The sequence below is a fragment of the Homo sapiens genome, chromosome 16 (assembly GCF_000001405.40).
Source record: "Homo sapiens chromosome 16, GRCh38.p14 Primary Assembly".
Lineage (NCBI taxonomy): Eukaryota > Metazoa > Chordata > Mammalia > Primates > Hominidae > Homo > Homo sapiens.
In genome coordinates, this window is record NC_000016.10 from 15,422,046 (window position 1) to 15,434,887 (window position 12,842).

Consider the following 12,842-nt stretch of genomic DNA (forward strand, 5'->3'; position numbering starts at 1 on the left):
GGAGGTGGGCAGATCGCTTCAGCCCAGGAGTTCAAGACCAGCCTGGACAACGTGGCGAAACCCATCTCCACCAAAAATACAAAAAATTAGCTGGGTGTGGTGGTGCACCTCAGTGGTCCCAGCTAGACAAGAGGCTGAGGTAGAAGGATCACTTGAGCCCAGGGGCGGAGGTTGCAGTGAGCCGAGATCCTGCAACTGTGCTCCAGCCTGGGTAACAGAGCGAGACCGTGAACATTAAATAAAAATGGATTGTCTAGGGGAGAGAGAAGTTGAGACCAAAATAGTTCAATGCTAGTAGAGAGTAAGGGACAGAGTATAGGTTAATAAATTTAGATTTACCTAGGTAGTATCAGCCAGATTTGTAGGTCAAAGTACAAATTTACGGCCGGGCACCGTCCCAGCACTTTGGGAAGGTGAGGCAGGTGGATCACTTGAGGTCAGGACTTCAAGACCAGCCTGGCCAACATGGTGAAACCCTGTCTCTAGTAAAAATACAAAACGAAATTAGCCAGGTGTGGTGGCGCTGCCTGTAGTCCCAGCTACTAGGGATTCTGAGGAAAGAGAATTGCTTGAACCCAGGAGGTGGAGGTTGCAGTGAGCTGAGATCATGCCACTGCACTCCAGCCTGGGCCACAGAGTGAGACTGTCTCAAAAACAACAACAACAAAAACAAAGTACAAATTTACTGGTTTCAATGACTAGCTCAAACAAAGGTGTCATCAGCTGTCATAGGAAATACACAAGATAGGATCTGGAGGAAGATATTAAATTTGAAGTGCTTCTGGGATATCTAGTCTAGTGGTGCTGCCCAACAAAGAGTTGTATAGACACATCTGGAAATATAAGTTCGTAAACTTTTAGCATGTCTTTACTCACTTTACTGTTTAGTTTAGGTGAACCTTTTTCCAGAGGGTAACTCCCCTGCATAGATGATGGTAAAAAACTGTAGAGACTAAGGTTGGGGTTATAAATACACAGTAAATATAGGTAGAATGCAAGGAATTTTTTTTTTTTTTTTTTTTTTTTTTTTGGAGAGACACGATCTCACCAAGTTGCCCAGCCTGGCCTTGAACTCCTGGGCTCAAGCAATCTTCGTGCCTTGACCTTCCACAGTGCTGGGATTACAGGTATGGGGTACCACCTCCGGCCAGATGCAAGGATTTTATTTCCTGGATGGAGCAGCATTTTGGAGCATCCAGAAATATCAGCCCTGTATGCAAGGGGATGCTGTTGAATCAATTCCACATGAAATAGACAAGGCATACTAGCAGTTATGTTAGGATGTTATTATTTGAGCCATACACAGATCAGGGGGCACTTTAGAATTTTTCTTCTGCTTACTCAGTTCATTCATACGTTCAACAAGCATTGGCTGGGTATCTACCACGTGCCTTTCAATATTTCAGCTCTGATGATTTGAAAGTAAATAGAACACATTTCTACTTCATGGGTATCCTCATGTAAATATGTGATTTATAAATGAGTTGTATTACTCACGCACATTTCTTTTCTTTTCTTTTCTTTCTTTTTTTTTTTTTTTTTTTTTTTGAGACAGAGTCTCACTCTGTTGCCCAGGCTGCAGTGGTGTGATCTCGGCTCACTGCAACCTCTGCCTCCCAGGCTCAAGCGATTCTCAAGCCTCAGCCTCCCAAGTAGCTGAGTAGCTGGGATTACAGGCACACGCCACTACGCCTTGCTAATTTTTGTATTTTTAGTAGAGATGGGATTTCACCATGTTGGCCAGGCTGATCTCAAACTCCTGGCCTCAAGTGATTTACCTGCCTCGGCCTCTCAAAGTGCTAGGATTACAGGCATAAGCCACCATACCCAGCCCTCACACACACTTCTGGTGAGTATAACTTGGCATGACACTTTTGAAGGATGGCTTGATAATATAAAATGCCTTTAAAAATGTGCATATCCTTTGATTCAGCAATTTCACATCAAGGAATTTTTCCCAAAAGAATAAGATATCTACAAAGCTTTAACTGCAAGACTGCTCCTCATATTTTGCTGATAATCTCGAGAATTTAGGAATAACCTGTTTGTCCCCAGAACCAAGGAGATTGGTTATATAAATTATTCTATAGCTAGCAGGAAACCAGTGGATGATTTTCTTTTTAATTTTTTTTTTTTTTTCAGAGACAGGTTCTTGTTCTGTAGCCCAGGCTGGAGTGCAGTGGTGTGGTGATCACAGCTCATTGTAACCTCGAACTCCTAAGCTCAAGCGATCCTCCCACCTCAGCCTCCCAATGGAGGTTTTTAAGCAGGAGAGTGGCATTGGATGTGTGTGTGTGTGTATCTAATTTTAGAAGTCGTGTGGAGAATGGTTTTCAGTAGGGAGAAAAAAAACCCAGAAAAGATGTTTTTTGCCACAGTGTAGGTCAGAGATGATGCAAAATTGAGCTAACTTAGGCAGTAGGAAGGAGGAGGAGAATCAGATTTGGGAGCTATTTCCAAAATAGAGTCAATAGGATTTGTTGACTGACTGTGGCAGAGAGTGTTGGGATGTTGCAGAATAAGGTACCAAGGATATACTGAGATTTCCAACTCGGATGGAGCAGGTATGGGGGCTGATATAGTGAATCTGACTTTGAATATGATCAGGTTGAGGTTATAAATCCCTCTTCATGGGCACTGCCATGGTGGTTTCTTGAAACACCTTTGAGAGGTGATGTGGGATGTGGCGAAGTGTTTAGGCTTTGAGACTGGCTGGCTGAGTTTGAATGCTGGTTCTGCCATGTGTTAGCAAGTAATTTACTTACCCAAACTCTCTGAGCTACAGCCCCTGTCTCACAGGATACTACAGCATAGAATGAAGAAGGATAAATCTGGTACAGTGCCCAGCACATAGTAACCACGCAATAAACATCAGCTTTAAAAAAACAGACAATGCGGGCTGGGCGCAGTGGCTCACGCCTGTTATCCCAGCACTTTGGGAGGCCGAGGCAGGCGGATCACAAAGTCAAGAGATCGAGACTATCCTGGCTAACTTAGTGAAACCCCGTCTCTACTAAAAATACAAAAATTAGCTGGGCATGGTGGTGCATGCCTGTAATCCCAACTACTGGGGAGGCTGAGGCAGAACAATCGCTTGAATCTGGGAGGCGGAGATTCCAGTGAGCCGAGATAACGCCACTACACTCTGACCTGGCGACAAAGCGAGAAAGCGAGACTCCCTCTCAAACAAAAAACAGTCAATGCTGCCTGTAATCCCAGTATTTTAGGAGGCTGAGGTGAGCAGATTGGGCTGAGGTTGGGAATTCAAGACCAGCCTGGCCAAAAGGTGAAACCCTATCTCTACCAATAATACGAAAAATTAGCCAGGCGTGGTGGTTCATGCCTGTAATCCCAGCTACTTGGGACAGGCGTGGTGGTTCATGCCTGTAATCCCAGCTACTTGGGAGGCTGAGGCAGGAGAATCGTTTGAACCTGGGAGGCGGAGGTTGCACTGAGCCGAGATCGCGCCATTGCACTCCAGCCTGGGGGACAGATTGAGACTCCATCAAAAAGAGAAAAGAAAACCACAAAAAAACTCAGACAATTCTATAATAGAGGGAGAATACGCATGCAACCCAGGGATTTTTCTCAGATACCCTACCCATTCTCAAATAGCATGTGCTCTAAGCTCCTATGGTAAAAGCTTCATGCCCCTGCAAAACTCACACACCTGATCCCACTCCTCAAGCACTTCATGGAGAAGCAGCAGCTCCCAGCTCTATAACAGATAGGGGATTTCAGGTCCTAAGTCTTGAGAGCAAATATTTCCTCAACTTCTTTTCTCTCTCTCAAGCCTCCTTTAAGAGGAATACATACTATGCTTTCTGGAACTCTGTTCTACCTTCCAAACCCATTTATATCTTTTACGATTTTTTTTCCCCAAGATTGCGGATATTTTCTATTTTTTTTCTGGAGACAGTCTCGCTCTGTTGCCCAGGCTGGAGTTCAGCGGTGCGATCTCAGCTCACTGCAACCTCCACCTCCCGGGAGGAACTGCCAGACCATCTTCCAAAGAGGTTGCAACATTGTATATTCATGGTATGAGAGATCTAATTTTTCTACTCAATGTCATTTTAATGGTGTGGTGTTTTGTTTTGTTTTGTTTTGTTTTGTTTTGTTTTGTTTGAGACAGGATTTCACTGCCACTCAGGCTGGAGGGCAGTGATCCAGTCATAGCTCACTGCAGCCTCAACCTCCTGGGTTCAAGTAAGCCTCCCACCCCAGCCCCCTGAGCTGCTGGGACCACAGGCACATGCCACCACTCCCGGCTAATTTTTTAATTATCACTTGTATAGATGGGATCTCCCTATGTTGCCCAAGCTGGTCTTGAACTCCTGGGCTCAAGCAATCCTTTTGCCTCAATCTCCCAAAGTGTTAGTGAGAGGTGAAGCCCGCTGCATTTCCTGTATGGAGTGGGGACTTGGAGAACTTTTCTGTCTAGCTAAAGGTTTGTAAACGCACCAATCTGCACTCTGTAAAAACTCACCAGTCAGCGCTCTGTGTCTAGCTAAAGGTTTGTAAACGCACCAATCTGCACTCTGTAAAAACGCACCAATCAGCAGGACATGGGCAGGGACAAATAAGGGAATAAAAGCTGGCCACCTCCAACCAGCAGTGGCAACCTGCTTGGGTCCCCTTCAACGCTGCGGACGCTTTGTTCTTTCGCTCTTCACAATAAATCTTGCTGCTGCTCAGTCTTTGGGTCTGCACCACCTTTGTGAGCAATAACACTCACTGCGAGGGTCTGCGGCTTCACTCCTGAAGTCAGCGAGACCGTGAACCCACCGGAAGGAAAAAACTCCAGACACATCTGAACATCTGAAGAAACAAAGTCCGGACACACCATCTTTAAGAACTGTAACACTCACTGCGAGGGTCCACAGCTTCATTCTTTAAGTCAGAGAGACCAAGAACCCACCAGAAGGAATACATTCCAGACACATTAGGATTACAGGTCAATGTCATTTTAATAGGTTTTTGGTTTTGATTTGGAGACTTCATTTGGTAAATTCTCAAAGAGTCAGCACTCAAAATATCAGCTAACACGTTGCTTCAACCCAAGAAGGATGATGATCATGATGATGATACTAACTTGTACTGAGGACCTCCTATGGGCTGCCATACTTTATCTCATTTAATCATAATAGTCCTCTGGGGCTGGGTGTGGTGGTTCATGCCTATAATCCCAACACTTTGGGAGGCCTAGTCAGGCGGATCACCTGAGGTCAGGAGTTCCAGACCAGCCTGGCCAAAATGGTGAAACCTCGTCTCTACTAAAAATACAAAAATTAGCCGGGCCTGGTGATGTGCGCCTATAATCCCAGCTACTCAGGAGGCTGAGACAGGAGAATCACTTGAACCTGGGAGGTGGAGGTTGCAGTGAGCCAAGATCACACTACTACACTCCAGCCTGGGCAACAGAGTGAGACTCCATGTCAAAAGAAGAAGAAGAATAGTCCTCACCACTACACTCCAGCCTGGGCAACAGAGTGAGACTCCATGTCAAAAGAATAATAATAATAATAATAATAATAGTCCTCACCACTACACTCCAGCCTGGGCAACAGAGTGAGACTCCACATCAAAATAATAATAATAATAATAGTCCTCAGAATAGATAATAATGTCATTAGCATTTGAAAGAAAGTGAAGATTAAAGAAATTAAGGGACACAACACACAGAGTCACACAGCCAGCAGGTGGCAGAGTCAGGGCTCAAACTCAGATCCTCTGGATTTCACGGCCCGCATTTTTGAAAACCATGCGATTCTCATAAGCTCAGTGTCATGGACGTTTGAAATTCTCAACATGCTGGATGAAGTATCAAATTACCAGGATGAGATTGCATTATTTTTCCTTTCAATCAAGCAAAATGACAGTTATAAAAGTGTCTTGCACTGGCCCCTGCTGCCTTGGCTCTTTATAATCACCCAGGATCCCTCCAAGTCCTTGGCATTCCCAGCAAAGCCGAGGCACTGAGCCAGGACAAGCAGCCAGGGCTCGGGGGCGGTGGCGGGGGGGTGAGGGGGTGAAGGGGAGGGTGTGGGGGGGTGTTGCTGCTTAATACTTCCATGCAGATGGTGACTTCAGCCAGTTACTGAACTTGAAGCATTATCACCCTATGCTAATGCAAACAGACAGGGTTCTGGGGACTGTGGTGGCAGGGATAGTTTGTCCTCTAGGATTGTGGAATTGTATTACACACTTTTAGAAATGAAATGTATTCGTTTTTGAATTCTAAAACAATATGGGCTCAATATAGATGGTTGGAAAATTCATAAAATTAAAAAAAAATCTTTCCCAAATTTCAACTCTAGAAACAACCATTGTTAATATTCTCTTGTATTTACTGCTAGTCATTTTATTTTTCATACCTTAAAACCATTATTTATTGCTGGGCGTGGTGGCTCACGCCTGTAATCCCAGCACTTTGGGAGGCTGAGGTGGGCGGATCATGAGGTCAGGAGATCAAGACCATCCTGGCTAACACGGTGAAACCCCGTCTCTACTAAAAATGCAAAAAATTAGCCGGGCGTGGTGGCGGGTGCCCGTAGACCCAGCTACTCGGGAGGCTGAGGCAGGAGAATGGTGTGAACCCGAGAGGCAGAGCTTGCAGTGAGCCAATATAGCACCACTGCACTCCAGCCTAGGCGACAGAGCAAGACTCTGTCTCAAAAAAAAAACAAACCACCATTATTTATTTATATTTTAGAGACAGAGACTCACTCTGTAGCCCAGGCAGGAGTGCAGTGGCACGATCATAGCTCACTCACTGCAGTCTCAACCTCCTGGGCTCAAGCAATCCTCTCACCTCAACCTCCCGAGTAGCTGGGACTATAGGTGTATGCCACAACAGCTGGCTAATTTTTTTTTTTTTTTTTTGGTAGAGACAGGGTCTTGCTGTATTCCTCAGGCTGGTCTTGAACTCCTGGCCTCAGGCAATCCTCCTGCCTCGGCCTCCCAAAGTGCTGGGATTACAGGTGTGAGCCACTGCACCTAGCCTGATTTCTTTTCTGATTATAAAAGTAATACAGGCCGGGCTTGGTGGCTCATGCCTGTAATCCCAGCACTTTGGGAGGCCAAGGTGGGCAGATCACTTGAGGTCAAGAGTTTGAGACGAGCCTGGCCAACATGGTGAAACCTCATCTCTACTAAAAATGCAAACATTAGCTGGGTGTGGTGGTGGGCACCTACACTCCCACCTACTTAGGAGGCTGAAGTGGGAGGATTGCTTGAACCTGGCAGGTGGAGGTTACAATAAGCCGAGATCAAGATCGTGCCACTGTACTCTAGGGTGGGCAACAGAGTGAGACTATCTCAAATAAATAAAAGTAATACGTATACTTTGTAGAAACATTGGAGAATACAAACAAAACATTTATTATCATGACATACATAGGTAGTCACTATCAATATTTTGGTGTATGACATTTTAGTGTTTTTTCACCCTGGATGTGTATACATGTTTGTATATACGTAAACAGGTAAAATTGGAATCACAGTAGCCGGGTGTGGTAGCCCATGCCTGTAATCCCAGCTCTTTGGGAGGCAGAGGCAAGAGAATCACCTGAGGCCAGGAGGTCAAGACCCACCTGGGCAACATGGCAAAAACTACATCTCCGCTAAAAATACAAAAATTAGTTGGGCAAGGTGGTGCATACCCGTAGTCCCAGCTACTAAGGAGGCCTGGGCGGGAGGACTGCTTGAGCCCGGGAGGTGAGCAGTGAGCCGACATCCCACCACAGCACGCTAGCCTGGGTGACAGAGCGAGACTCTGTCTCAAAAAAAAAAAAAAAAAGGAATCACAGTATTTTTAAATTTCTACCATTATCATTCTATAAAATATGATTGAGATTACAGTGTGCACTTGATCTTAGCCAAAAGATCCAGAATGACAGCTCACACTTTATATTACAATTTGTATTCTACTTTTCCTGATATTTTGATTAAATTGTGCTATGTTTTCCCTATGACATTTCCCTATTACATTTCTTTGTAAACATCATTTTAAATAAGTGTACAGTGTTACATTGCAGGCATACCATAAGTTTAGCCATTTCCCTTTTGTAAGATACTGACCCTTTTCTAATTTTTTCTACAGTTTACATAAATTGTAAAAAAAATATATTGTGTGAATGTATTTTTAGTAATTCAGATATTCCTTCGGGTAGATTTCCATGAGTTGAATTTTTAGATCCAATAGATGTATTTTTTCTTTTTTAAATTATAAAATATTTTAATGTAGAGATAATTACATGACAAAGATCCCTAAATGCACCAACCGTCTTTTAAGGGATACACACCCTTTTATTTATATATTATGTCTGTAAGATTCATCCATTTTGTTGGTAGTAATTTGTTTGTTTTTTTTTTTTTTTTTTTGTGAGACAGGGTTTCACTCTGTGGCCCAGGCTGGAGTGCAGTGGCATGATCACGGCTCACTGCAGCCTGAACCTCCCACGCTCAAGTGATCCTCCTGCCTCAGCCTCCTGAGTAGCTAAGACTACAGGCACACACCACCCATGCCTGGCTAATTTTTGTATTTTTTGTAGAGAAGGGATTTTGCCATGTTGCCCAGGCTGGTCTCGAACTCCTGGGCTCAAGCGATTTGCCCACCTCAGCCTCCTCAAGTGCTAGGATTACAGGTGTGAGCCATTGTGCCTGGCCAGTAGTTTGGTCTTTTTCGTTGCTGTGCAGATTCAGTTGTATGAATATAGCATAATTTTTGTCCATTCTATTGTTGATAGACATTTGAGTTGTTTTCATTTCTTGTCATTATGAGTAAAGCTCTTAACATTGGTGGACACAAGTATGTATTTCTCTTAGGGATATATCCAGGAATAGAATTGCTGCCAGACAGAAAAATATATATGTATTTGTAGCTTTAGAGGGTATTGCCAGTCTTTTTTTATTTCTTTCTTTTTTATTTTGAGACAGTCTCACTCTGTCGCCCACGCTGGAATGCAGTGGCGCAATCTCAGTTCACTGCAATCTCTGCCTCCCGGGTTCAAGCGATTCTCCTGCCTCAGTCTCCTGAGTAGCTGGGATTACGGGCATGTGCCATCACGCCTGGCTAATTTTTGAATTTTTTTAGCACAGACGAGGTTTTGCCATGTTGGGCTGGTCTTGAACCCCTGACCTCAGGTGATCCGCCCACCTCAGCCTCCTAAAGTGCTAGGATTACAGGCGTGAGTCACCACGCCCAGCCATTATCTCTCATTTTCTAAAGTGGTAGTACCATTTTATACTCCGAACAGCAATAAATTGTAGTTACATTCTTACTAACTGCTAACTCATTTATTTACTAGCATCTGGACTAACATTTGGTATTGTCAGTCTTTTTAATTTTAGTCATTCTGGTAAGGGTGTAGTGCCCACCAGCCATCTCCAACAGATTTTAACATATATGCTTCAGATCTCTTTTAAGAAATATAAATTTAAATATTCATTAGTGAATCTAGTAAGGGATGTGTGTGCGTGTGTATATATATATATATTGTATATATACACACACATATACAAGAAAATAACATACATATTATATAAAATAACGTATATATACACATACTGTATATATACACACACAAACTATATATATATATGTGTGTGTGTGTGTATTTTGGAGACAGGGTCTCACTCTGTCATCTAGGTTGGAGTAGAGTGGTGTGGTCTTGCCTCACTGTAGCCTCGACCTCCCAGGCCCAAGCAGTCCTCCTACCTCAGCCTCCTGAGTATCTGGAATTATAGGTGTGTGCCACCACACCTGGTTAATGTTTTAATTTTTGTAGAGATGGAAAACTGCTTTGCTGCCCAGGCTGGTCTCGAACTCCTGAGCTCAAGGATTCCTCCCACCTTAGCCTCCCAAAGTGCTGGGATTATAGGCATGAGCCACCGCACCTGGCCAAGGTCTGTATTTTTCTTATTGTACTAAACTTGCAACTTTTCTGTAGATTTAAAAATTTTCAAAATACTGTAAATAGTTTAAAAATATATAAATTTTAGATATAGCTGAAACTAACTACTTACCCTTTCCCAGCCTCCTAAAGTAATTACTATCCTGAATGTAATGTTTATTGTTTTTTTTTTTTTTTTTTGAGACAGCGTCTCACTGTCACTGAGGCTGGAGTGCAGTGTCATGATCTCAGTTCACTGCAACCTCCGTCCCACGGGTTCAAGTGATTCTCCTGCCTCAACCTCCTGAGTAGCTGGAATTACAGGTGTGCGCCACCAGGCCCGGCTAATTTTTTTTTTTTTTTTTTTTTTTGTATTTTTAGTAGAGACGGGGTTTCAGCATGTTGGCCAGGCTGGTCTCGAACTCCTGACCTCAGACTAACCGCCCGCCTCAGCCTCCCAAAGTGCTGGGATTACAGGCGTGAGCCACTGTGCCTGGCCTGGTACAACTAATTTTAAAAGCAGGTTGACACTCTAGTCCAACTGGCAGATGTGCATACCCCATGCCATTGTAATTTTTCCCCCTAGAAAAACTCCTATTCAGTCGTACAGGGAAATGAGTATAAAAACATTTGCTGCTGCCATGTTTGTAATTGTGGACAATTGGGAATAATCTTTATACCTCATCAATGAAAAAATAGACCAATTATGGTTCATTCATGTAGAATACTATACAGTAGACTATGAACCAGAGTTACATGAATCAGAATTCGTATTTCTCAAAAGCATAATGTGGGCCGGGCACGGTGGCTCACGCCTGTAATCCTAGCACTTTGGCAGGCTGAGGCAGGTGGATCACTTGAGCCCAGGAATTCAAGACCAGCCTGAGCAACACAGTGAAAACCTGTCTCTATCTTTTTAAAAGGAAGAAAAGCATATTGTGGAACAACAACAGAAAAAAGCAACTTGCAGAATTATAAAGTATGATATCATTTGTATAAATTATAAGAAAATGTTAAATAGCGCTATTATATATAATTTGTAGAGTTATACATATATACCTGAGAACAATAAACATTACATTCATGCAGCCAGGCACAGTGGCTCATTCCTGTAGTCTCAGCACTTTGGGAGACCAAGGCGGGCAGATCACTTGAGCTCAGGAGTTCGAGACCAGCCTGGCCAACATGGTGAAACCACATCTCCATTAAAAATACAAAAAATTAGCTGGGCATGGTGGCACGCCTGTAGTCGCAGCTACTCAGGAGCTTGAACCCAGGAGGTGGAGGTTTCAGTGAGCCGAGACTATGCCACTGCACTCCAGCCTGGGTGACAGAGAGAAAAAAACAGTTGTACCAATTTATACTCCCACTAGCATTAGATAAAAGTTCAAATTATGCCAGGCATGGTGTCTCACATCTGTAACCCCAGCATTTTTGGACTCTGTCTCAAAAAAAAAATCCACATCTTTTACAACACATGATTGTTAGATTTTTTAGTTTTTGCCTATCGGATGATATATTCTTATTTACATTTTCATTTTCCTTATTACTAAGGGGGTTGAGCAGCTTCTCACATTAGGCCTTCCTCCTCTGCCCACATGACATGACTATTCATATTCTTTCCCTGTTTCCTACTGGGATATCATTTTCTTTTTTTCGTTTCTTTTCTTTTTTTGAGACGGAGTTTTCCTCTTGTTGCCCAGGCTGGAGTGCAATGGCATGATCTCGGATGACTGAAACCTCTGCCTCCCAGGTTCAAGCGATTCTCCTGCCTCAGCCTCCCGAGTAGCTGGAATTACAGGCCTGCGCCATCACAGCTGGCTAATTTTTGTATTTTCAGTAAAGATGGGGTTTCACCATGTTGGCCAGGCTAGTCTCAAACTCCTGGCCTCAAGTGATCCACCCACCTCGGCCTCCCAAAGTGCTGGGATTACAGGCATGAGCCATCGTGCCCAGGCACTGCCATGGTGTTTTTTGTTTGTTTGTTTGTTTGTTTTTAAAGATAAACCTCTGGGGTTTCTGGAAAGTAAAGCCCCATGCTCCAAACAGCTCTGCTATACCTGTGTGCAAAATATTTTCATCTCTCTCTCTCTCTCCCCAAAGTGCATGCAAACACATATGGAACTGACATAGGCATCCACTGTCGCACTTCAAATTAAACAGACGCACACGACAGATATTCTCACAGAAAAGCAGTCAGCCAAGCCCAGAACCCATAGATCTAGGTCCACACTCACGCCTCTGCATGCTCCCCAGAAAGACGGATGCATCGCCCGCAGGTAGAGACGGGCTCACCAATCCCACTCAAAACCCGCTGCCGGCTTACAGCTCGCAAGCCGCCCACAGTGCCAGCCCCATGCCAAGCATCACTAGGGGCTCTAGAATAGGCAGGGGCCTTGTTCTCACTTCCTTTGTGTTGCTTTTATTTTAGTTGTTTTGTTTGTTGTTTTTCTTAGAGTTATCACCTGCCCCTCTGTCTCCCTACCCAGCCCCCAAGCCTCCCCTCCAAGCCTCCACTGCGCATGTGCCGTGCATCCCTGCCCCTTCTGGGTACCCGTAGGCGCTCCCGGGCGCTGGCGGCGGCGGAGGAGAGGGAGCAGCGTCACGGGCGCCCGGCCCGTTAAAACGCTGCTGGCTGGAGCCACCTCCCTCCCTGCAGCCCGCAACGGGAATGGAGTAAAGGGAGACCCGTCGACCTGGCCACGGGGATCAGCGATGGAATTAAAGCAATCTTTGTCCACCCATCTGGAAGCCGAGAAGCCTCTGAGGCGCTATGGGGCGGTGGAGGAGACGGCTTGGAAAACGGAGAGACTGGGGAGAAGTGAGTACTGGGGCGGGGGGCGGGGGGCCGGGGACAGCTGGGGATCCATGCGCCTGCGCGGGTGGTCGCGGGAGCGCGAGGAACGCCAGCAGTGGACCCAGGGAAGCGCCCCCGCAGCGGGGCTGGCA

At 44.8% G+C, this 12,842-nt stretch overlaps 2 protein-coding genes across 2 annotated transcripts in view; both read left to right on the forward strand.

Moving 5' to 3' along the window:
- MPV17L-BMERB1 (MPV17L-BMERB1 readthrough) overlaps positions 1-12,842 on the forward strand; it is a 192,506-nt gene that overhangs the window by 26,292 nt on the left and 153,372 nt on the right. The gene's annotated exons all lie outside the window — the stretch shown is intronic.
- Positions 12,543-12,842, forward strand: part of BMERB1 (bMERB domain containing 1) — a 153,672-nt gene continuing 153,372 nt past the window's right edge. Inside the window, exon 1 of the mRNA NM_033201.3 lies at positions 12,543-12,714. Coding sequence (NP_149978.1) covers positions 12,609-12,714 — 106 coding nt within the window. The 5' untranslated portion in view covers positions 12,543-12,608. The remainder of the gene's footprint in view (positions 12,715-12,842) is intronic.